The 25,729-nt window shown below is 40.4% G+C and overlaps 2 protein-coding genes and 1 pseudogene across 31 annotated transcripts in view, besides 1 other annotated feature; 1 reads left to right on the forward strand and 2 right to left on the reverse strand.

Annotated features, from left to right (window-relative positions):
• Nucleotides 1-4,086, reverse strand: part of CEP170 (centrosomal protein 170) — a 131,358-nt gene extending 127,272 nt beyond the window's left edge. For 21 of the 25 annotated variants that reach the window (XM_017002951.3, XM_017002946.3, XM_011544343.4 and 18 more), the window contains exon 1: nucleotides 3,341-3,582. The gene's annotated coding sequence lies outside the window, so the exon portion shown is untranslated. Of the gene's footprint in view, nucleotides 1-1,402; nucleotides 3,583-3,684 lie in introns of those variants that run through there. The other 4 variants (XM_047435483.1, XM_006711843.5, XM_011544335.4 and 1 more) reach the window with 4 other exon arrangements.
• SDCCAG8 (SHH signaling and ciliogenesis regulator SDCCAG8) overlaps nucleotides 4,342-25,729 on the forward strand; it is a 244,051-nt gene continuing 222,663 nt past the window's right edge. For 5 of the 6 annotated variants that reach the window (NM_001350251.2, NM_001350248.2, NM_001350246.2 and 2 more), the window contains exons 1-4: nucleotides 4,342-4,541; nucleotides 18,406-18,558; nucleotides 19,279-19,364; nucleotides 22,844-22,957. Coding sequence is in view for 3 of the 6 variants with exons in the window: in NM_001350248.2 (NP_001337177.1) it covers nucleotides 4,475-4,541; nucleotides 18,406-18,558; nucleotides 19,279-19,364; nucleotides 22,844-22,957 (420 nt within the window). In the remaining 3 variants the exon portion in view is untranslated. Of the gene's footprint in view, nucleotides 4,542-18,392; nucleotides 18,559-19,278; nucleotides 19,365-22,843; nucleotides 22,958-25,729 lie in introns of all 6 variants that reach the window. The other variant, NM_001350249.2, reaches the window with a different exon arrangement.
• On the reverse strand, nucleotides 15,922-16,474 carry FCF1P7 (FCF1 pseudogene 7; annotated as a pseudogene).
• Nucleotides 16,136-17,335: an enhancer, noted in NCBI's record as "MED14-independent group 3 enhancer chr1:243431137-243432336 (GRCh37/hg19 assembly coordinates)". NCBI's record gives its function as "activates an origin of replication core promoter dependent on BRD2, BRD4, P300/CBP and CDK7 cofactors, and independent of MED14, by STARR-seq in HCT116 cells {active_cell/tissue: HCT116}" and the evidence as "EXISTENCE:reporter gene assay evidence [ECO:0000049][PMID:35650434]".

Below are 25,729 nucleotides of genomic sequence, written 5' to 3' on the forward strand. Positions count from 1 at the left end.
TGTCATTTGTTTTTCAGACCTCAACAATGCATGCTTGGGATTCTTTTCCACTTCTATACTTTCTGCAATTCCTGTTTGTATGTAAGTAGATTTTATGAGGTTTTCTTTAACTTTGCTTTTGCTGTTTTGTTTTTCCACCTTTATTTGATATAAAAGTGGGCTTTAACAGCAACACACATTGGCTATGTCACTGGCTTTGGCTAAAACATTTCTGCTAAACTGGACAATATATCCAGTTTAATCAACCACACTACCAGACAGATGTTTTTTATCTCTCACAATGGCTAACTCACTGCTGAACACTCCTTTATGAAATTTTTGAGTAAGTAAATAAAAACCTAGGGTATCTGATTAGAAATTTTGGTTATTAATGAAATAAAGATATTTCTTCCCATCAAAAGTATCCCATTTCTTAATGAAACAGATCAACACTGAATGCTCCAGTCAATACTATCTACTCACCAAGCATTCTTCAAATGGCACGTAACTGCTCTTTTGTTATACTTCCAGAATAATTTGCAACTGTACAGATACTTTAGTTAGCAATTAAATATCAGGTTGTCTGTCAGATACTTAGTTGAAGAGTACACTGCTTAACATCCCAGTGTTTGGGACAGATAAGAAAGAAAAGTCTTTACCTATTAATTAGTATAGAAAAAATATTTTTCAGGAATACAATTTTGTGGAATAAAAAACATTTTGACAAAAAAGCTTAAGCATATACAATATTTAGTACTAGATGAGCATTATCTAATTGCAATCAGATACAATAATAAAACTAGTTCTTTTTTTCAGTAGATAAAAAGGAACAAGAAACTGATACTTGGAACAAATCAAATAAATCACGAAGCACAGAATTTTAAAAAGTACCATAACAGCATTAATATGCAGAATGTATGCTAAGGTTTACAGTATAAATTTCACTATTCTAATGTTAAAATAGGGAACAGGCAGATTATTTCCATACAAAATAATCTCAGAACACAATGAAATTTACCAGTAAAATACATTTAAAGCATGATTGAATATAATCCCACATACTGAAATTTAGTTACAGATTTTTAAAGTTGAAATTTAAGATAAATAATAAATCCTTTAAAGAAGTCTATTAAAATGCAACGTAAAATTAAACGATTAAAATTATAAGGGAAGAAAAAAGCACTTTATGGCAAAATCAACCCAATAAAAAACATAAAGTTAATATATCTTAAAATGTAAATTCTAGTTTAAGTTAAAAGTAATCACTAATAACTCATTAATGATTACAACTCATTAACTGTGGCAAAATAAACATCATAGGTTCTTGTTATGCGGAAATTTTATTTTTAACACAGCCTATAGAGTTGATCATCATACTATTATAAAATACTATTGATTTTCAAGAAATAATATTAAAACCTACCGTTAAGTAGCTACCATTAGGTAGTAGGGAAAACACTGCAACACTTCGTTTTTATGAAAAGCACATGTTAGGACATCTTTCCTCATGTAGTAAGTTACTTTATGAAAGTAAAGGTCCATTTTAGGAGGATTACTACTTTTACATCACAAAGGCAAGAACTAGATTAATCACGGTGAGAATCAAGTTCAGTGATAGTCACAGCCTACTCAGGGAGCACATAGAGAAGCTTTCCATACATTTTCACAAGGTAAAAGGGCTAGGGGGACACAGGAAAGATCACTCTGCAGAATGGACCTTGAGTTTCGTTTGGCTCTGCCTTCGATTAACTGTCTGGCTTGGGCAGACAAGTCAGTTAACTTTCTGAGTTTTAGTGTCTTCCTCTGTCAAGTGCACTTGGGCTCTTCCGTGTTATCTACAAAGTTAGGAAGAGCTAAAGGCAGCCCTAGTTTTACTTTTTAAAAAATAATAACAGAAAAATACATAAGTTGCTATTCATCAGTGTACTGTTTCCAGAGCTGAATTCCTAAGTCTCTGAAGCATACCCAGTTAGGGTTATACCAGTGAAGATCCAGATACTATAGTCATAATGTCACTCTCTCCTCTCCCATTATTCCTCCACCTGCTCCTCCCCATCCTGCTTTATTCTCTCTTCTGGTGTGTTTTAAGAAGCAACGCCAGCAAACGGCTGCATACATTGTAAGCTTAAGGATTAAATCATTTTAAAATATGCATTTTCAATCAAATGTATCATCTGCTTCGCCAAATTCCTCCCAAATGGCTGAATTTTCATTAAGAGAATAAAAATGAGTTAACAACTTCGGTAACAGAAATGTACTGGGCCAGTTGTTTTGTTTGTTTTACTTGCTTAAAAAATAAACGGAAAGATGTATCCATTCCCTCAGGAACATAAATGCATTACCTGCCCAATGAAAAAACAATTCTGCTTGTTCATTTCCCTGACACAACAGCTTCGTTGTCAGGCCCTCTCTAGCCCAGGCTCCAACGTCACCTAGTAATTTTATATTGATCACCTTGGCAGTGCTTGGACTCCAGCAGGCATAGTCCCTGTCTTCCTTACATTCCTCAAAATAAATAAATAAATAAATAAATAAATAAATAAAACTCTACGAAACACCACCGAACAGAGATTCTGTGACTTAGTATACAAATCCCACGTCTTCCCGCCCTGTGTTAGGCAGCTGCAAATGTTATTTTTTCATCGCTTGCATAAAATGGAAGCGAAACGTACCAAAACCCTACATCTGAATCCTAGGACAATGAAGCCGACAGGAAGCCACTCTCTCCTCCCCCGGGTTTACTACAGAGCCAGAGCCTCCACGGGGTGCAGTCGCCAGGCAGGGTGCATGACACCGCGTCTTCCACGCCCTCCCAACGCGTCCAAAAGGTTGCTCGCCTGACCTCGCCAACCGCCTCACACCCCAAAACCAATCACACAAAAGGGATTGGCCCGGGGAGCTGCTCCAATGGGGGAAAAATCCCTTCCCCAGCGGCAGCGCAGCCATTCCCTCCAATGCTCCGCCCGCACCCCTCGCAAACTGCTACGGCGGAGGGGGGAGGGCTGCACAAAGCCAGTCGAAAGCTGAAAATGATTCAATGCACTTAGGGGATGCGGAGGCGGCAGCAAGGGGCTCGGGAAAGCCGGGGGGCCGCAGGACTGGAGCTCCGGGGGGCGGCGGGTGGGGGATGGGAAGGGTGGTCCCGTCAAGCCCCGGGTCCCAGGCGGGCAGAGGGTGGGGGTGGCGGCGCCGCGCGGAGCACCCGGGAAGCGCCCCCTTCGCGGTCCAGCCCCGCACCCCCGCCCCGCGGCGGGCGGCGCCCGAGTCCTCGCCGCAAACCCGAGGAGCAGGATGTGGAAAGCAGCCGCGGCGGTGGCTGCGGCTGCGGCGCCTACACCGAGCAGCCGATCGCATCACTTACCCCTTACCGTGGAGAGAGGGACCGGACGGGGGAGGCGGGGCGCGTCGCGTCCCGTGAGTCTCTCGCACGCCGTCCTCCCCCCACCTCGTCGTCGTCGTCGTCGCCGCTGTTGTCGTCGCTGCCGCTGCGGTCGAGCTCCGGGGCCCTCAGCTCCGCTGGGCAATAACGTTATTCCACACACGCCCCACACATAGCGGTAACGGCAAAGACCGACTGCCTAGTGCGCAGGCGCCTCGGGAAAGGGCGAGGAGCCGGACCCTATCCCCTCCTGCCCAGTTCCAACGATCCCTTACTGCGCAGGCGCCACACACAGACAATGAAAAGGGGTTGTGCGAGGGTCTCACCCACACGCTTTTCCAGCTTGCCCACTGCGCAGGCGTGCCCCGAAAGACCAGCTTGAACAATGAAGAGGACCTCGGCGTTAGGTGGGACCGCAACCAACAAGGACTACAGTTCCCAGCGGGCAGAGCGCCAACTCCAAGTGAAGGTCCGGTTGCTGGGCATGCTAGGAGTTGTAGTGTCGGCCGCCTTTACAATCTAGGCTGTTTGGAAGATTTAGAGCTTCTATTTCTTGAAGATTTATTCGACCGTTTTAAAAAATCTCGCAACTGAAGCAGGGTTCAGAGTTTACTATCTGCGTCCTTGAGTAGCCTGGGGATCAACTGCTGCATATTAGCAAATTTCGAAGCGTCAAGGCCTTCAGTGAGCCCTTTCTGTCATTTGGGTGGTCCAGGCAGCTGAAGAGTGGGATGGAGGCGGGACTAAACCAGGCTGGGCTGGAGGAAAAGGGCGGGGCCTGCAAGCCTGTCTCTTGGCAGCAGGCTCTGGCAGCCAAACCGTCCAAGCTAGCGCCTGGAGCGCAGTGGTTTCTGGGAATTGTAGTGTAACTGGAAGGCCCTGAGGATTGTCGAGCTTGCAGGTTCTGAACGTGAGGACTACAACTCCCGACGTGCAAAGCGAGGGCCAGTGGGTGGGAAGAGCCCCCAAGAGCTCTGTGCGGGATTCTAGGCTCCCCTGTGACAGCCGCGGCAGGAAGCAGGCGGGCGCTCCCCGGCCACAGGCCTGTTGTTCTCGGAAGGGAGAAAGCTGGACATTTCCCCACGTAACTCCCAGCTCTGGGCCTAGAGTGCGTGCATGGCGAAGTCCCCGGAGAACTCTACCCTGGAGGAGATTCTGGGGCAGTATCAACGGAGTCTCCGGGGTGAGTTGCTCCAAACCTCTGTCCCTAGCCCCGAGGTGCCCAGGGCCTAGTGGGCGGGAGCAGACCAGGTGCGTTTCCTAACACCTGGGTTCTGCCCCGTCCACGCTACAGAGGAGCAAGATGGATGTTGCTGTGGTCTTGAGGAGGATGAAATAGTTTGATTTAGTTTTTACAGTTAAGCAACGATGTTTCCTCAGATTCCCGTAGTTACCTCAATCAACTCCTTGATCTTAACTTGGCATCTTTCTCAACCGGCGACAGCAGAAACTCTTGGATAGCTCTATGCCATTTTTGTTCAGTTCCCATACGTTGCTATTTAATCCAATAAAAGTCTGATTCACAGTTTTTACACATTTAAATTATGGCACAGTGGATTGAATGTGATTTATGGGATCAGTGGGGGGAAACACTAATAATTATTTTAATCACAAGAGCCCCCTTTTAATTGATTTAGGCTATTTACATACAGTAAATCATCTGCAGCTTACACCAATCGTGTGAATATTTTACACATGGGGAAAGCGAAGCTCAGAGAGGTTGAATTACAGGCCAGAGCCCACACAGCTGGTTAGTTGCAGAGCCAGGTATTATCAGGCTTGCCTTCAAAGCCTATGTTTGTATTTACTAATCAAGCCATAATTACTATTATCAAAACCTTATTAATTTAGATTTTCTTACCACATTACCATATGAGCAAGTATCTGTACAAATAATGTCTGTATTTATTTTCCTTTAAGCTCTGTTGGACTTAATGTCTGTACTTTTAGATGGCGCTGTCAACTTGGACAGCATATATAACATCTAGAAATTTCGATTCTGTTATAATGGAAGTTATGGAATTGTCCATAGGGTTATTGTGGGGAGCAAATGAAATAATCCCCATAAAGCAGTGATTTTAAGACTTCTTAAAATGTTTACCTATAGTAAGAAATAAATTTTATATGGGACATATGTGTACATATAAACTATAAGTTTCACTGAAGAATTTTTATTCTACTAAATGTAATAAACTCTGCTTTCTATTCTGTTGCATTTTCATAAGCCTCTAGGTCATGACTGTTTGCGACATTGAGAATACTAAGTTATGAAGCATGTGTTGTTCTGCATAATATGCCTACTATGTGTCAGTGCCTCCTACTATGTGTTAAGCATACTAGGTGCTAGGCATGCAGTAAGGAACAAGACAAAGTTCCTATCCCCATGGAGCTTCTGGATTAGTTGGGGAGAAAGACAAAAAAAAAAAATAATTATAGATTACTATGATAGAAAGTAAGGGTAAAGATCAGTGCTTACTAGACAAGCACTCATTAAATGTTAATTGTTATTTATACTTGTTACTTAAAGCAAAGTGAAGGTTTTTCAATATTAGAAAGTTTATCTTCTCATGACTCTAGATTTTATAAGGGTTACTATGTATTGTTACATCTGTCAATTGTGTTAACAAACTGTCGACATTCTCAGTATTCAAACTGCAGGAGTAAAAAAATCGGTTTTAATGAACACCTTCCTCAACCTACTGATGTTTCAAGAGCTGTTAGATACAAAATAAGCACTTCTAACTTTTCATTTGGAAGCAAGAAAAATACTGTGCACAATGATATGAGTAATTGTAATTTTTAAGATTGGCAAAAATTTTTTGTTTTCATTGAAAGTTTTTCCTGATGCTTCTCTTCCTTTGACCTTATTTTAAGTCTTTATATAATTGTCGGAGGCTGTTTAACATTAGGCATTTTGACGCAGTAAAGGGGTTCATTTTAAATTAATGTTATAGTAATATGTTTAATACTAGTGGTACTGCTTTCAATAATTACAGAATGAAGGGTTTTCATTTAAGGATAATACATTTTAAAATTAGTTTGAAATAAAATTTAAATTTAGTGTGATAACAATATAAGGTAGTGGAAACATTTCACCAAGAGCAAATACGAAGGATAGAAAAAGTTAAACAACTTAAAAAAAAACGTATTCATAATTTTAACAGTGAATCAGGAAATGTAACCTGAAATGTTTATGGGTTTTTCAGGACATATCATTTATTTAGTAGCACTTTTATTTTTGTATGTTAGCTTATATAACAGCTTCTGGAAGGAAACAAAACAGAATTAACTCTGAACTTAAGTACAGTCAGAAGTTCTTCACAAATATAAATTGCTATTTTTGAGTAGTATAATTTATTTATTTAGAGATGGAGTCTCACTCTGTCATCCAGGCTGAAATGCAGTGGTGCCATCTCGGCTCACTGCAGCCTCTGCCTCCTGGATTCAAGCAACTCTCCAGCCTCAGCCTCCCAAGTAGCTGGGATTACAGGCACGCGCCACCATGCCCGGCTAATTTTTGTATTTTTAGTAGAGACTGGGTTTCGCCATGTTGGTCAGGCTGCTCTAGAACTCCTGACCTTAAGTGATCCGCCCACTTCAGCCTCCCAAAGTCTGGGGTTATAGGCGTGAGCCACCGCGCCCGGCTGATAATTCCCTTTAAAGTAAAGTATTCTGTTCCTTAATAAACAATGCTGGAGTTATGTGGAAATTCCTTATTTTGAGTGTGCCTAATAATTTAAGAATTGTATTACTATGTAGTAAGATAAAATGCAGTTTAAAGTTCTATGTCTTATTTTGTTTTGGTTTTGTTGGTTTGTTTGGTTTTGTCTACCCACCATTACTTCCCCAAATGCCTTGCGTAGTTTATGATTAATGGAAGCCTAATAAACAGTCTTGGTCTTTCCTCACCGGTTTTTCCTCTAGCTTGTAAATAACTGCACATGTAGTCACTACTAATATCCCTTCATTGATATTCAGCCAGGAAGTGGCCGCATAAAAATGCAAAATGCTTTCCCTATTTTCCGTGATCGTACTTCCATTTTAAAAAGATCTTTTCCTGGGGCCGGGCGTGGTGGCTCACGCCTGTAATCCCAGCACTTTGGGAGGCTGGGGCGGGCGGATCACGAGGTCAGGAGATGGGAGACCAGCCTGGCTAACACGGTGAAACCCCGTCTGTACTAAAAAAAAAAATACAAAAAACTAGCCGGGCGTGGTGGCGGGCGCCTGTAGTCCCAGCTACTCAGGAGGCTGAGGCAGGAGAATGGCATGAACCCAGGAGGTGGAGCTTGCAGTGAGCCGAGATCGCGCCACTGCACTCCAGCCTGGGCGACAGAGCGAGACTCTGTCTCAAAAAACAACAAAAACAAAAACAAAAACAAATTTCCTTATTTCTTTAATGTTGGTACTATTATGGTATATCAAAATTTGAAGTTCTAATGTGAAAACTGAGTCAGCATTTACTTTCTTGTTTTTAAAATGAGGTTGGGCGCGGTGGCTCACGCCTGTAATCCCAGCACTTTGGGAGGCCGAGGCGGGCAGATCACCTGACGTCTGGAGTTCGAGAACAGCCTGAGCAATATGGAGAAACCCTGTCTCTACTAAAAATACAAAATGAGCCAGGCGTGGTGGCAGGCGCGTGTAACCCCAGCTACTCGGGAGGCTGAGGCAGGAGAATTGCTTGAGCCTGGGAGGCGCAGGTTGCGGTGGGCGGAGGTTGCAGTGTGCTGAGATCGCGCCACTGCACTCCAGCCTGGGTAACAAGAGTGAAATCCTATCTCCAAAACAAACAAACAAAAAAAGATATTTTCCTCATTTCTTTAATTTTGGTACTATTATGGTATATCAATAATTTGAAGTTGTAATGTGAAAACTGAGTCAGCGTTTACTTTCTTGCTTTTAAAATGAGATCCTTGCCTCATTTTGACCTTGATGATCTTGGAGCAGCTCCACATTCACCTTTCATCCATTCCCTTACACTTTTCAGTGGATTTGCTGTTTGACTTCTCTAAAGATATCTCTTGCTTTGGGTCGCCTATGCCCTTTTACAAGAAATTGGAGACATTTAATGATTCTTCTTCAAAACGAGAGTTCTGGCAGAAAAACCGGAAGGCTTTGTTGCCCCCACAGATCTGTTGTATTATTCCTACATAGTAAATGGTCTGAAAGTTTCCAGTGTGGTTAAAAGTGTATGTGTCCTGGGTATCCTGGGAACCACAGAATTTAATCTAGAACTGGAAGTGATTTGGGAGGTCTCTTGGCAGTAAGGTTAGGTGTTCATTTACTCTATGGGTAGTTATAATTCAACAACCACAGAATGGCCGAGAACTACATTTGTAAGTGGGCAAGATAGCACATGCGCCTTCTCTAAATTCAATACATCGTTGTATAAAGCCAAGAGGTATGAAATGAACTATTTCATAGCCAAGAAAGGGTGAAAAAAGCCACAATTATAGGCAATCCAGGCTCTATTTTAAGTACTGCACACTTGAGTGTAAGGGGATATCAGAAAGGAGAAAAATTGCTAGAAATGCAGTATTTTAGCCTTAATAACAGAATCATGTCTCATCTCTTGCTGCAGCGTTGGGAATAGATAACAATTTTATCAACAACACCTGTATACATGACTCACCTATTCACCTCATTCCTAGCCACCTTTGGTTGGGTGAGTATAAGGAAAAATGAAACAAACTTCTTGTATGACAGGAACTCATGATTTTCTATATACATTTTGCATTCTGGTTTTACCTTTTTCTGTCAACATTTTGGTGTTTCAGCCTTTAGATGAATTTATGGGAAGAGTGTGGTGGGGTCAGAGGAGAGAATGTGGAGCTGGGAGCCAGGTCACTGCACTTACTTTTGCTTTGCTGACAACCATCTGGGTAACCTTAGGCAAGTGAAACACACTGTTCTTGGATTCCCGTTTCCTCAACTGTAAAACGAAAAGTTTGGACTGGATGTGAGAATTATTGCCTTTAGGTGCCAAGCAAATGATCAAAAGGTATGATGGAGTCAGTGGAAGACATTAAGGGAAATGATGAGGCTTATGGCCAAATTGGGCAGTTTCTGCTTTTTCTAAAAACATTTCAATTTCTTCCTTGCTCCCTCCCTCTTTGCTTCCTTTTTTTTCTTCTCTCTTTTTCCCTCTTTTCCTCCCTCTTTTCTTCCAAGAAGGAAGCCAAGCAAAACACACCCAGAGCCTGATTCCCCTTTAGACACCACTCTCTGACCCTTTGATCATTAATGTTCCTTCCATCAGCACTTGTTTGGACCAGATGAATGATTAAGGGCTATGTTTTTGTCTTATGGAAATGAGAGTAAGGAGTTGAACCAGGTACACAGAAAGTGAGAGGATGAATATGAGAAGAAAATATATAATCTCAGGGATGGGCCTTGTCTTTACGAATTGATGTAGTTCAAGAAAACCAAAGATAAGGTTGACTTTCTATGTTTTGCTTGTATATGATTAGCACATCTATCCAAATCCTGCAAAGTGGCTCACAATTGTAGAAGGGCTGTGTTAGTCTTACTAGCCAACAATTTGGTCAGTGTATTAGCCAGCAGTGATATCATCTGGCTGTCTTAAGAAAACATATGTGTAACTCAAATAAGTATTCCTGTTTTCTTATAAAACTTGTATTTCTTTTTTGCTTTTCTCAAATATTTTCTGGATTTTTAAATATTGTTTGCCATATGCACTATATAGGAATATACACACATAAACATGAGGGGTTTTTTGCTGATAAAATTCAAATTATACATATTCATCTTTTGTTTTATATATTCATGTGGCTTTTCTTTTTCTTTTTTTTTTTTTTTTAATCTCAGCTCACTGCAACTTCCACCTCCCAGGTTTAAGCGATTCTCCTGCCTCAGCCTCCCGAGTAGCTGGGTTACAGGCACGTGCCAACACACCTGGCTAATTTTGTATTTTTAGTAGAGACGGGGTTTCTCCATATTGGTCAGGCTGGTCTCAAACTCCCAACCTCAGGTGATCTGCCTGCCTTGGCCTCCCAAAGTGCTGGGATTACAGGCATGAGCCACGGTGCCCGACTTTTTTTTTTTCTTTTGAGACAGGGTCTTATTCTTTTGCCCAGGCTGGAGTGCAGTGATGTGATCTTGGCTCACTGCAACTTCTGCCTCCTGAGTTCAAGCGATTCTCCTGCCTCAGCCTCCCGAGTAGCTGTGATTACAGGTGCCACCACCACGCCCGGCTAATTTTTTTATTTTTAGTAGAGGCAGGGTTTCACCATGTTGCCCAGGCTGGTCTCGAACTCCTGGCCTCAAGTGATCCACCTGCCTTGGCCTCCCAAAGTGCTGGGATTACAGGCATGAGCCATTGTGCCTGGCCTCATGTGGCTCTTCTTAGTGCCTTTAACTTTTATGATCTTTTATTTTACTAGAACTTAAAAGTACAATCTCAATTTTTCTTTCCTACTACTGATGAGATAAAATTGGCAAAAGACAGGATTTAGCAACCAGAAAAGAAATGAGTGTTCTACAAGTAAATAGTCATCCCTGGAATAATCTAAATCAAAGGTATGTTTCAGTGTTAGGAGATTGTAGGGGTACTTTTTCATGTTCTTTGTCAGAAATAGGTATAGAGTAAGTTTTTTTCAAACTATTGAGATACTGAGAGTAATAATATTCTCTCCTGGGATGTTTAAAGACTTATGGTCTGATCACATTGCCAGTTTGTGCTAAGATTTTCACCATTTTACTTGATGATAACTCTTCTCAGAGTCCAAAAGTAGACAAGGTAGCTAGAAATGCCCTTGTGCACTGGCTGAAGCAATCCTGATGATGGCGGAACTTCATCAAAGCCCACTGGATACTTAAAGGGATGGCCTTAGGGCAAATATTGCTTTTAGGCCCTGAAACAAAATAAAGCTAAATATGAATCTGAGCTCTTGCTTCTGATAGATATAACACCTATTCCTGACACCTGGATCAGATGTGTCCCATCATGGCACTGTCGGTCTCAGGCTGTGTCCTCCCCACCAGCACTCCTGTGGCAGAATAGCTCACTGTCACGCTCATTTTCCATCAAGAGGCGGCAACACTTACAATGTAATGTGGTCAGAGTGATAGCAAGTCTCCCCTCAACACTGAAAACTCTTGTTTTATTGATCTCGTTTTATTGACTTGAAAACTGTCTTGTTTTATTGATTTTTTTTTATTGTCACAATTGGGGGTGGAGATGAGTGCTGCTGGCCTCTGGTAGGCAGAAGCCAGGGATGCTATTAAACTGGCACAACACAGCCCCTTCCAAAAGAGAATTATCAGGTCCAAACTGTCAATAGTGCTGAGGTTGAGAAATCACGATCTAGAAGTACAGGCTTTGCTTGTAGCCCTTGATCTGCAAGAATCCTACTTTACAGTAATTACAAGTAAGGATATACAGATTGTATTTGCTGGTGATTTTACCTATGTTCTTTGCCAGCCTGGCTAGGTTTACTTCTTTTATCAGTGGAAAGTGACAGGTGCATCAGTCCTCTCCACTGATGCCAAAGAAATACCAGGTGTATCCCTTAGAATGCATATAGCCAATCTCCTGGATTTGCCAACACCCACATATCTTTAATGGTCTTCCAGACATTGCTTTCTTAAGATGTTTACATTCTTTATCAGATTATCTTTTACTCCTGGCGCCAACCACTTTAGCATGTTTTCAGTTATTAGAGTCTTAGGATAGTATTTTCTTTGAGATTCAAACAAAAAAGTATTCTACATAGTACTTGTAATCTCTTTCACAATTGTAATTGCCTTTCACAAAGCCGACATTGTCTGATTTTTTGATTCTGCTGTTTATATCTTGGTAGTGTTACCTGTTGGTCCCCTAGTAAACAGTGACAGCAATCTTCTGAACCAGGCTGAGGCCCAGTCAAGTGTAGATAGACATGTATTTCTTATCTCACTGTGGTTTTATTTTTCTGCATGTCTGCCCTAATCAAAGCTTGTGCTGGGAGCTGCAGTGCATCTCATATCTCGGCCTCGGGAGGAATGGTTCATTGCATATTCTCTCAGAGACAGCTGGGCGCTTCGCAGGGAGTGGTCCCCCTCCCTGTCACCAGGGCAATTCTCTTTCACATCTCCCAGGACAGATGGAGAATGAAGAAATTAATAATTCATAGTGTGTATTTAAGTGGTGATTCTTCCTAGACTGAGACATACTTGCATTTTGTTCAAAAACATCTTGATGAAGACAGGCCCAGTGGTGACCTAAGAGTTAGAACATAGGAAGTAGGGAAACTCTTACTAAGAAAATGGACAATACAGGCCAGGCAGGGTGGCTCACGCCTGTAATCCCAGCACTTTGGGAGGCTGAGGCGGAAGGATCACCTGAGGTCGAGGGTTTGAGACCAGCCTGACCAACATGGAGAAACCCTGTCTCTACCAAAAATACAAAATTACCCAGGTGTGGTGGTGCATGCCTGTAATCCCAGCTACTCAGGAGGCTGAGGCAGGAGAATTGCTTGAACCTGGGAGGCGGAGGTTGCAGTGAGCCGAGATTGCACCATTGCACTCCAGCCTGGGCAACCAGAGCGAAAACTCCATCTCAAAAAAAAAAGAAGAAAGAAAATGGACAAGACAGACTGAAATTAGCTAGCAGCCATTAGCTCAGGTACCTTTTAAGTGCTCATTGTACTGATTGATGTTTGGATAGTGCATTAGCAGAAATATTATCTACTTGCACTTACGTTCATGTGATCTGTAGGACTCAGGGGTCCTGTTTGTGTCTGTAGTCATAGTTAAGTTTATAGTCAGTTCCTGGTTGGTGCTGGGGAAAAGAAATCAGGATGCATTCATTGTGAAATACCCTTACTGTCCTCTCAGGAGAGAAGAGGAAATGAGTGTGTTCTCTCTCTTGGTTAGAAACAGATAAAGCTGTGTCCCATTAGCAGTTGGATAGGAAACGGTAACTGGAACCTTCTGTCTAATCTGGTTTCCTTAAATGTAAGGAGCAGATAACTGCATCTGGGGAGTAGTGCTCTTAATAAGGATTATGGGGGCTTCAGTTGCAATGGCTCCAGTTGAAGAGCCATGGGATTTCATCTGTCCTGAATCATCTGAGTGTTATTCTTCTTCACATTAACTGTGTTTATCTGTTATAGTATATAATTATGCTGGTTTGTTATGTATTTGAAAAGCACTTAGCATGTTTTGAAATGTAGCGTTGAAATGACTTTAAAATGTCAACTCTGTAGTTTTAGTTTTAGGGCACAGTTCTTGCAAATTCCTGCTTTTCCTCTCTGACCCTAGTAACTCTGAAATCAGTAGTTGCAAACAAACAAACCCTAAAGCCTTGTGTGTCACTTTTCTTTGGGATAGTTGTTGAATTCAATAGCTCATTATTTCACGTAATATTATGTTCATAGTGCAATTTAACATGTAGTCTTTGAATGTTATAAATTCTAAAAGATTAAACAAGAACATTAGAAAAGGAATGAAAAGTGCTCTTAAAATCCTGCCCTAGGCCGGGCATGGTGGCTCACTCCTGTAATCCCAGCACTTTGGGAGGCCAAGGTGGGTGGATCACCTGAGGTTAGGAGTTTGAGACCAGCCTGGCCAACACGGTGAAACCCCATCTCTACTAAAAATACAAAAATTAGGTGGGTGTGGTGGCGCATGCCTGTAATCCCAGCTACTCGGGAGGCTGAGGCAGGAAAAATGCTTGAACCTGGGAGGCGGAGGTTGCAGTGAGCCAAGATCGCACCATTGCACTCCAGCCTGGGGACAACAGGGAGACTTCGTCTCCAAAAAAAAAAAAAACTCCTGCCTTTCTTGTAATCTGATGAAAGAACTCTGCCTACAGAGGCTTTTAACTATGCAAATTCTTTCCATATTTTTTTTCTTTTTCCTAATATAGTTTATTAGCTTTTACTCAGACTAGGTATAAATAAATAATTATCCCTTGCCTTAGAGGTGAAGTCATTTGAAAGCTCCATGGAATACATTTCTTCTTTAAAAACGCAACAAAAATTTTTTATTGTAAATTGACAATTTATAATTGTATAAATTTATGGGTTACAAAGTGATGTCATAAATTGTGGATACAATGTGGAATAATTAAATAAAGCTAGTTAACATATCCAATACTTCCAATACATTTCTGTGATGAGAACATCAATTTTGAAATGTGTAATACTCCATTATTAAGTATATGCACCACACTGTACAATAGAACTCAAAAAAAGTATAAAACATATTCTTCCTGTCTGAGATTTTGTACCCTTTGACCATCACTGAATTTTTTTTTCTTTTTCTTTTTTTTTTTTTATGAGACAGTCTCACTCTGTCACCCAGCCTGGAATGCAGTGGTGTGATCTCGGCTCACTGCAACCTCCGCCCCCCGGCTTCAAGCAACTCTGTTGCCTCAGCCTCCCCAGCAGCCAGGACCACAGGCACACAACACCACAACCTGCCAACCTTTTTTGTATTTTTAGTACAGATGGGGTTTTGTCACGTTGTTCAGGCTGGTCTTGAACTCTTGACCTCAGGTGATCCACCCACCTTAGCCTCCCAAAGTCCCAGGACCACAGACATGAGCCACTGTGCCTGGACTAAAATTTTTATGAGACAAAATATCAATTTCAAAACAGCATCAAAAAGTGAGTAGGCCAGGCACGGTGGCTCATGCCTGCAATCCCAGCACTTTGGGAGGCCGAGGTGTATTTTTCTGTACTAAAAATACAAAAGTATTTGTCTCTATTATAAATACAAAAAAAAAAAAAGAAATTAGCTGGGCACTGTGGCACATGCCTGCAATCCCAGCCACTCAGGAGGCTGAGGAAGGAGAACCATCTGAACCCTGGAGGCAGAGCCACAGTGAGCTGAGACTGCACTACTTGCACTCCAGCCTGGGCAACAAGAGTGCAACTTCGTCTCAAAAAAAAAAAAAAAAAAATGCTGGGCGCGGTGGCTCACGCTTGTAACCCCAGCACTTTGGGAGGCCGAGGCAGGCGGATCACAAAGTCAGGAGATCGAGACCATCCTCGCTAACACGGTGAAACCCTGTCTGTACTAAAAGTACAAAAATTAGCTGCGCGTGGTGGCGTGTAACTGTAGTCCCAGTTTCTCGGGAGGCTGAGGCAGGAGAATGGCGTGAACCTGAGAGGCGGAGGTTGTAGTGAGTGAAGATCGCACCACTACACTGCAGCCTGGGCGACAGAGCGAGACTCCGTCTTAAAAAAAAAAAAAAGAAATATACATGATAGGAATTCCAGGAATCTTATGGATTCTTCTTTTAAGGTCCCGGTCACTGGGCGTGGTGGCTTACGCCTGTAATCCCAAGACTTTTGGAGGCTGAGACGGGCGGATTTCACCTGAGGTCGGGAGTTTGAGACCAGCCTGACCAACGTGGAGAAACCCCGTCTCTACTAAAAAAAAATACAGAATTAGCCGGGCGTGGTGACAGGTACCTGTAATCCCAGCTATTGGGGAGGCTGAGGCAGGAGAATCGCTTGAACCCGAGAGGCGGAGGGTGCGGTGAGCCGAGATTGCGCCATCGCACTCCAGCCTGGGCGACAAGAGCCAAACTCCCTCTCAAGAAAAAAAAAAAAAAAGTCCCGGTCAACTGTGGGCACAATGTAACACTTACACACACTTAGGCTGAGTTACTCTCTGTACTAAGCAGTCATGTGCATAGGTTCCTGTGTGTGTACATGGTAATTGTTCAAATCTTGGATCCTTGGCGATCCTTAGAGCCACTCAATACTTCTGCCCCAATTTCTCAATTTCAGCCATTACACAATCAGTTATACAAGGGATACACTTGACATGCAGACAGCCCATCATTGACTGCACTAAGTCCAGTTTGGCTTTTATGGAAAAGTTGATAAAGTTGGTATCAACGAGGATGTGGTAAGGTGGGCCCAGCTGTGTATTATATTGGCAAAATAATCAGGAAAGGTGTTGCGGAACTTCTCTTTCCTTTAACGCGCTGGGATCCTTCTTTTCTTTCTCTTTAGGTTTTAATCTATCCTTTTCTTTAAGCCTCTGATCTCTGAGACTAAGCGTTTGCTTCATGGTTGTATAGTTCCTCATTTTCTTTTGCTTCCTCATGGTCACACCACACTCCTGTTTCTTCCGTAATCACCAACGGTGCAATGCTTTTACCTGGAATACATTTTTATGTTAGTCAAACTGTCTCGTTCCTTTCTAATAGATTCAATAAAGATAAGTGTTTTATTCGTGGATTTAAGGGCATAAATCTAAAGCTCCATGAACTGAATTGCTTATCATGTAACACTTTGATTTTCCTTTTCCATGACCAAATCGCTTTTCTATTCTATTTTCTAATACTAAGTTATTGTAAAACTATCACAGTTTCATATATTCCCAAAACCAGGAATGCGTCTTATCTGAACTTCCTTAAACTCATGATGAGTCAGAGGAGGCCAGTTTTCATTAGTAATCAGCGCCAAATTCATTTCAAAGAAAGATCTGTGTGGACATAGGATTGGTATGGAGAAAAATATGGTGATAAATTAACTGTGTCTCTTGTATAGTTGAGTAATAGAATTTCATTGTCGAACCCTGACCTGAAATACATGTTTTCTTTTATCAAAGTAGAAAATGAGTTGCTGCAAGTAAAGAAACTGTATTAGATATTGTATAACAGAGACTTTTTTTTTCTATTAAGTACTAACATTGCTTTTGTTTCTGTTCCAAACTTTGAAATCAGTGCACTTGGACAAAATGGAAACTGCTTTTCAAGGTCCTACAGAATATATGTTTATAAATGTATTTTTATACATGGTTGGTAATGAATCAGGTCTCTTTCGTGCCATTGCAGTTAGAGGGCCTCTGGTGCTGGAGTCCTCTGGAGGACTGGGCTGTCAGAGTGGGGCAGCGGGGTGCAGCGCGGGGAGGGCTTTTCTCTTTCTTCGTGCCTCTGGTGCTGGAGTCCTCTGGAGGACTGGGCTGTCAGAGTGGGGCAGCGGGGTGCAGTGCGGGGAGGGCTTTTCTCTTTCTTCATGGGGTCTCAGGGCCTCTCTCTTCCTCTCCACGTATGCTCTTCACAGGTCTCTCCAGCAGGGTAGTCAGATATCTTACATAGCGGCTTAGGGCTCCCAAAAGCAAACATTCCAAGAGGAAGCAGAAGCTGCCAGTCCTTTTAAAGATGAGGCTTGGGTGTGACATGGTATAACTTTTATTGCATTCTATTGGTTAATGCAGATTACAGGCCCAGTCAGTTTCAGATTAGAAGAGAACAAGGGAATGAGGCTGGGTTCCTTGGAGGCTATTTTTTTTTTTTTTTTTTTCTGAAACAGTCTCGCTCTCTTGCCAGGCTGGAGTGCAGTGGTGCGATCTCGGCTCGCTGCAACCCCTTGGAGGCTATTTTTAGAGATGAACTATCACAGTAATATACCTTAAAATACTTCATTTTAGACAGTTTTTGTGTGTTCTAGGGGTGGTCAGTTGCACTAACCAAGAATCTATGAGGTGTGGTTGGCCAGCAGTATATAGAAAGAGCTGTACCGCCGGGGCTGCCACTATAAGCACTTCAGCTATGCAAATTTTGATCAAAACTAGGCCAGACATGTGGATGTCTCTTGGTGGGGGAGGGATTTCCTGTCCCCAGGGACAATGAGGCTTCCCTAGGTTGGAACTGGGTGTGACGCAGTCCCTTTTGCTGGCTCTTCCCACCTCCCCACTGCTCCTTTCGTCCCCCTCTGTCTCCAAGTTGGTAAAGGAGTCAGGCATGGTGGGAAGGAGAGCACTTCCCTTAGCAAGTTATTGTTTAATGGGAGCTGGTGGGAAGAGTTCTGTCATTTAATCCTTGCCGGTGGTGCTATATGTAGTGAAATCAACTGCTACAGTGGTAGGGGCCTTAGAGATCATCAAGTCCTACCTCTAAACCATGAAGTTAATCTTCTCTCACCATCTTTGGCACATCCCTCAGCAAGCTAGAAACAGAACTCTGCGTTTTTTCCATAAAGTACGAGAAATAATGATTTCACCTTTAAAAACTGCCTTCCTGAGTAAGTGTCCGTTTGGTCAACCAGACTCCATGGGTCCTAACTTTCGTCAGGTTGTTCTTGCAGAACATGCCAGCAGAAGCATTCACCAACTGACATGTGCCCTGAAAGAAGGCGATGTCACTATTGGAGAAGATGCACCAAATCTTTCTTTTAGCACCAGTGTGGGAAATGAGGACGCCAGGACAGCCTGGCCCGAATTACAACAGAGCCATGCTGGTGAGTGTGAATGTCAATCCTAGTCTGAATGATGCATAGTGAATTTTTTAAACTCCGTAGAATAATAACTCCATTCATTCTTCATTCTGCTGCTATGATGTTATTCCTCAAACACAAATCAGATAATTTAATTCCCTCGCTTAATCTTGTTTTCCTTTGACTTCCCAATGCTTATAGGCTAAAGTCCAAAATTCTTAGTTATAAAATAACAGTGTTTTCCTAAGATAGCTCTAACCTGCCTCTTCGGCTCATCTTTGTGTACTTCTCATGCTAATCATCCATCTCACAACTCATATTCTAGTTATAATAACCTCCTCTCTATGCTTTTATGCTTTGACATGTGCAGTGACTTCTAACTGGAATTTTTCTTATCCTTTTCTGCTTGGTGAACTCCTTCCTGTTTATCCTTGCAGTGTTATCTCCTCTGTGAAAACAAGCACAATTAGCTTCTTCCTCTTCTTGTAGCACTGTGCATAGCTTTAGGTCTACATACAAACTTATTTTATATCTATTAGTGTCTCTCTCTTCCTTGCTAGATTCTTAGCTCTTAAGGGGTAGAAATTCTTTTTTTTTTTTTATGTTGGTCTTGTATCCCCAGTTGATAGCAGAATTCTTGATGCATAATATATCAGCAATTTTTATTAGTTGGAAGGATGGATGGGTGGTAAGAAACCATGGATCTCAAATAAGGTTAATAAACCCTCTGCTTTTGCTCTATAGTTAATCAGCTCAAAGATTTGTTGCGCCAACAAGCAGATAAGGAAAGTGAAGTATCTCCGTCAAGAAGAAGAAAAATGTCCCCCTTGGTAAGTATCAACTTTTCCAAGTTGACAAAGCATTCCTGTGTTTTACTGTATTGTGTTATTTTGTAGTACATGTTGCAGAAAAAATTTAAGCATGGCATACTAATAGTGAAAAACATTAAAAGTAATTCTCTTCCCTCTGATTATTTTGGCTGAAAAAATAGATTTCCATGGCAGAGGGAATCTTGATTTTTTAAATTTATTATTCACTTGGAAAATGGGAGCAAGGGAATAGTTTGGAGAATTTATTTTGCAACTGTTAGCAAAATATGTAATATAAATATATAATATATAATAAATTAATATAATAAATTATATGTCAGAATATATGTAAAAGATAAAGTCATTATTTTAGTAATTTCTTTTTTAGAGGGTCATATCTATTATTGATCATTTTTAGAAGTTACTTAATTATAATTGTAGCCCTACTTTGTAATATTTTTTAAATTTTGAGTGTCAAAATAATACATTTTATTTTTAATTAATTAATTAATTTTTTTGAGACAGAGTCTCATTCTGTTGCTCAGGCTAGAGTGCAGTGGCATGATCTCGCCTCACTACAACCTCTGCCTCCCTGGTTCAAGCGATTCTCCTGCCTCAGCCTCCCTAGTATTTGGGTTTACAGATGTGCACTACCACACCAGGCTAATTTTTTGTATTTTTAGTAGAGATGGGGTTTCACCATATTGGCTAGGCTGGTCTCGAACTCTGAACCTCAGGAAATCCATCAGCCTCGGCCTCCCAAAGCACCGGGATTATAGGTGTGAGCCACCGCGCCTGGCCTCAAAATAATACGTTTTAATATGTAATGTTCTATATGTTAAAATATATGGTTATAAAATAGTATGATATATAAGAAGTGGTGCTGTATTTCTTCTGAAGTTGTTTGTTATTGCTTTGACAGAGTGTATTATTTCTGATTAAAGCATTTTATATGCTAAAGGCTGAGATAGATGTGAGTGAAAGCACTCTGGACCAGATTTAAGTGGACAAAATAATAGTCAAGGGCTTAGTTCTATCTAGGGTCTATCACATACTCTCTAAGATATTGTGCCTGTCTCACAGAGTTTTTGGAATAATGAGATAAGATTACATACTTAAAATTCTTTAGAAACCTATGAAGTGTTACATAAACATAACATGCATAGCAGCAAGTAACCACCTCACATTTTCAATGTGTTTTCTAGTTCAATACAATGCCTGTATGCTGAAAAGTGTGGAGACATGTCACTTTCTTTTCTTCACCACTGAAATATCAGAGTATCACTCCCATACGAACACTCCATTCCAGGCTGACACATACTTTTAAGCTTAATTCCTACTTTAGAGAAATGTACTTCATATGCATATTCTAAATTTATAGATACAGATTTTATAATTTTAGTAAAACATCTCATCATTTAATGAATTTATTACTATTGACATCTGGTTTCTAGCTTGCTCTTAAGCACAGACTGGTGGAATGCTTTTAAATCTACTAGATGAAGTTGCTTTATCTGTTGAATGCTCAGACATGCTTATTTGCCTTTTAAAGTCTGAGCAGTGATATTATGGAGCTTACTGAATCCAGACAGGCAGGAAGACCTTCACTAAGAGAATCAGTTTAGTACATACAGAGTGCACTTTAAAATACACAAGTCTATTTATATGGAGCTATGTAAAAGAATGGAACTTAGACTCTATATGTATACAGCCTACATGTAATAATTATAAACCATAATAGTAATAATTAGCTTTTTAAGATTATACCTTTAGAATGCACTTTCATAGCCAGTATAACATATTAGAAATACATGCATATATTGAGAGTAAAACTGAGGCACTGTTGAGATGGAAAAAAAGTTATTACTTATTGTCTTAAAATGTAGATATCTAAACTAAAGCCCTTCAAAGTAGACACAAATGATTTCATGTGAACATTTTTCATACAATATTGGCTTGAGCTTTTTATTTTTCACATTGACTTCCTCCTGTATACTCATAGTAGTAATTTATATTTGCCTATCTTCTGAACCTATTGCTATTAATGGAGGATGATTATAATTGTTTGATTTCTACTCAGGACAGATAATTCATTTAATTAGAGTTACTTTGGTTTTTAAATTTCTTAAATATACCAAAAAACCAAAGCTCTATTTTATTTTATTCTGCCATGATAGCTGGTACTTGATTATCATTTAAAATGTCTGCTGTGCTGAGAAAGAGAGTGGCTGAGAAACAGACACTGTGCCTCATTTCAAGCTTTCCTCTGGCTTTGTTTAACTGGTTGACCCTTGTTTTACCTTTTCCTGATTTCCTCATCCTTTAAAAAAAAAATTATGTGATGGGTATATGATTTTACAAACTATTTTAGGATAAGGTAAGCTATACATTAACAGTCAGTTCCAGGAATGCTACAGAGCTAAAATAGCATTAGCGTTTTTTTGAAATCTCTTCGTTGGACCCCTCAATGCAGTGTGTCTCTACTTTAGGGTTCTACTCTTGGAGGTTCTATGCTCCAGAACACCATACACTTGAATTGCCTTCAATACTAGAGCCAAAAATCAAAAACTACATTTTGCTAATGTATCTTTTTTGAGATGGAATTTCATCGCATTGACACTGGCTTGGCATCAAACGCTTCCTAAAGAATCTCTCCTTCACGGAGCTGCTGCAGTTTTAGCTAGCAAATCCTCTTCCATGGCAGTTTCTTGGAGAGAGTTGTCCCTTGTATCTCAGCATTACTGAATGGAATGTTGTTTTTCCAATTTGTTAAAATAGTTTATTCCAAGCCAGTTATACTACTGCTACCCCAGCATTTTTCCATTCACTATATGTGCTTTTTATAACCACTTTCACCATCCATCTTTAAAAAAAATGATATTCACATCCATGAATCTTGTGTATTTGTGGAATTTATAGGATAGAGAAGCAAGTATTTGTATTAGTCCATTCTCGTGTTGCTAAAAATAAATACCTGAGGCTGGGTAATTTATTTAAAAAAGAGGTTTAATCAGCTCATGGTTCTGCAGGCTGTATAGGAAGTGTGATACTGGCATCTCACTCTGGTGAGGGCCTCAGGAAACTTTCAGTCATGGTGGAAGGTGAAAGGGGAGCAGGCATTTCATGTGGTGAGAGCCAGAGCAAGAAGTGGGAGAGGTGTCACATTCTTTTAAACAACCAAATCTCACCAAAACTCAGAGCAAGAACTCATTATCATGAGGATAGCACCAAGATTCATTCATCATGACCGAAACACCTCCCACCAGGCCCCACCTCCAATGCTGGGGGCCACATTTCAACTTGAGGTTTGTGGGGGACAAGCATCCAAACTATATCAAGACTATAAGCTACATTGTGATCGATTCTATGTTTATATCACATCAGTGCAAAATTGAGTATGGAGAAGGTAACAACTGATTCTTTGCTAAATCCAAACATGCTTAATTTGGCTTTTTAAAATTTATGTATTTATGTATTTATTTATTTATTTTTTGTCATAGAGGTCATTAGAACATGAGGAAACCAATATGCCTACTATGCACGACCTTGTTCATACTATTAATGACCAGTCTCAATATATTCATCATTTAGAGGCAGAAGTTAAGTTCTGCAAGGTAAGTTTCTCATTAAGAATTTAAAACTAAATAAATGAAAGCTTATATTAACTATAGATTGTATTAAAATTTGCTGCTATAAATCTTCATGTTTGTAGCAATACATTGACAATTGCTATTCTTACGTGATTGAGAGACTGATGTGTCACAAGAGCTTGTCAGACTTGGGAATGATGCTCTTGACCATACCATTTCTGATTGCTTGATTTCCCAGTAGTTCATTACTATGTCTAATGATTTCATAATATGCTTTCATATTTCAGAAGTTTTCCTTCTCACCCCGCTTGCTGTAGCCCAGCAAATGGCAAATGCTTTGGAATACAAATACCAATCATTCTCCCATACTTGTCAACCTACTGGAGCAGTGGTACAGCAATCAGGGATTCTAAACTGGTAGACCAATTCTTCTCCGCTGTCAGTATTAAGGCTCTTACTTTGACTTTGAATGAGAATGGTTCATAGGGTACTGACAGTAATGATCAAGAAACCAAACACATCATATATAGCTTATGACACTAGAAGGTTATATGCTCAACTGCGTGCAGTTTGCTAATGTCATTAATGCTAATAGAGCCTTTTCATCTTCCCGAAGTATGTCGTGTTTTACTTTTTTTTTTCTGTTTCTTTCTCTCTTTCTTTCTTTCCCTCCCTCTTTCTTTCTTTCTAGTATCAGTGTATTCGATTGTATGATATTTTTATAGGAATCACTGATATCTCTTGTATCATGTTTTTATATATAGTATATGATATTATGTATTATATTGTTGACATTTTAAGATGCAAGGCCAGTATGTAACTTAAGGAGGCTTTAGATGTTTCACTGTCCTGATTTTACCGGGGAGTTTCTGATCTTAACATGTAATTTCCTGTTTGTTCTTGGAGGACACAGTTATTAATATACACGTGGTCCTGGATTACCAGTAAAGCTGAAATAATATCCTAGGAACTATTTCATTAACAATACTCTATTAATCCCTAAGATGTTGTGGATAAAACTTGAAAGATATAAAGCAGAATAAATTTACTATCTAGTTGAGAAGACAGAACTATTCCCTATTAACACCATAAGGAGCACATTAGAGAACATAGTATAGGCCTTTACTTTTTGGTATAAGCTATAATTATAATAAGAGAAGAAGGTTAGGAAAAGCTACTGTCTTTGGGAATGTTTCTATGGGAGAGAGAGATCTTGAACCAATGTTTTTTTTTTTTTTTTTTTTTTTTTTTTGATGGAGTCTCGCATTGTCGCCAGACTGGAGTGCGGTGTCACAGTCTCCGCTCACTGCAACCTCCGACTCCCTGGTTCAAGCTATTCTCCTGCCTCAGCCTCCCCAGTAGCTGGGATTACAGGCCTGCGCCACCACGCCCAGCTAATTTTTGTATTTTTTGTAGAGACGGGGTTTCACCATGTTGGCCAGCATGGTCTCGATCTCTTGACCTCGTGATCCGTCCGCCTTGGTCTCCCAAAGTGCTGGAATTACCGGTATGAGCCACGATGCCCGGCCTAAACCAGTCTTAAAGGAATAGGATCATTTAGATCAGCAGAAGGGAGATGAGTTTCATAAAGAGAATGGCAACAGTGAAACACAGTATTCAGGATGAATATGGTTTGTGGGGGCCATAAGCCATCTACTTTATCTTCCTGCAGTGGAGAATGTCTCATAGAAATAATGAAAGTAATCCTGAACTGGTAAAATGGAAGATTACGGAAGCCTTGACTGTCAGACAGAGTGTAAATTTGATACATTTTAGTAAGAGAAGAATAGAATTAAAATAATGTTTAAGTGGTTTAGAAAGATTTTGTTTATTTAGTTAATGGACTTTATTTTTTAGATCAGTTTTAGGTTTATAGAAAGGTTGAATGGCAAACACATAGAGTCCTGTATCCTCCTTTCAGTGACATCCCTCACCTAATAGTTTCCCTTGTTATTAACATCTTGCATCAGTGTGGCACATTTGTTACAACTGATGAACCACTATTGTTAAATTATTATTATCTAAGTCTCTCAGTTTGCATTAGCTTTGTGTTATACATTCTACGAATTTGACAAGTGTATAATGACATATATCCACCATTACAGTATCATATAGAATAGTTTCACTGTCTGAAACATCCTCTTGCGCTTCACTTATTCATCCCTCTTCCCCTCCGCCCCTTCCCTCCCATCCCCTGGCAACCATTGATCTTTTTACTCTCTCCATAGTTTTGACTTGCAGAATGTCATATACTTGGAATTATTCTGTATATAGCCTTTTCTGACTGGCCTATTATACTTAGTAATATGAATTCAAGTTTCCTCCTTGTCTTTTCATAACTTGATAGCTCATTTCTTTTTATTATTAAGTAGTATTCAATTAGATGAATATACCATAGCTTTTTTATCTGTGCACCTATGGGAGGGCATCTTTGTTGCTTCCAAGTTTTGGCAATTGCGAATAAAGCTACTGTAAGCATTTGTGTGTCAGTTTTTGTGTGGACATCTGTTTTTACCTCTTTAAAGTAAATACCAAGAAGCTCAATTTCTGCATCATATGGTAAGACTAATTTTAACTTTGCAAGAAATTGCCTAACTTTTCTAAAGTGGTTGTACCGTTATGCATTATGCAGTAAATGAGAGTTCCTAATACTCCATATCCTCATTAGCATTTGGTGTTGTCAGTGTTTTAGATTTTAGCTGTTCTAATAGATGTGTAGTGGAACCTCATTGCTGTTTTAATTTCAATTCCCTGATCACAAATGATGCTGAGCATCTTTTCCTATGCCTATATTCC

The sequence above is a fragment of the Homo sapiens genome, chromosome 1 (genome assembly GCF_000001405.40).
Source record: "Homo sapiens chromosome 1, GRCh38.p14 Primary Assembly".
Classification (NCBI taxonomy): domain Eukaryota; kingdom Metazoa; phylum Chordata; class Mammalia; order Primates; family Hominidae; genus Homo; species Homo sapiens.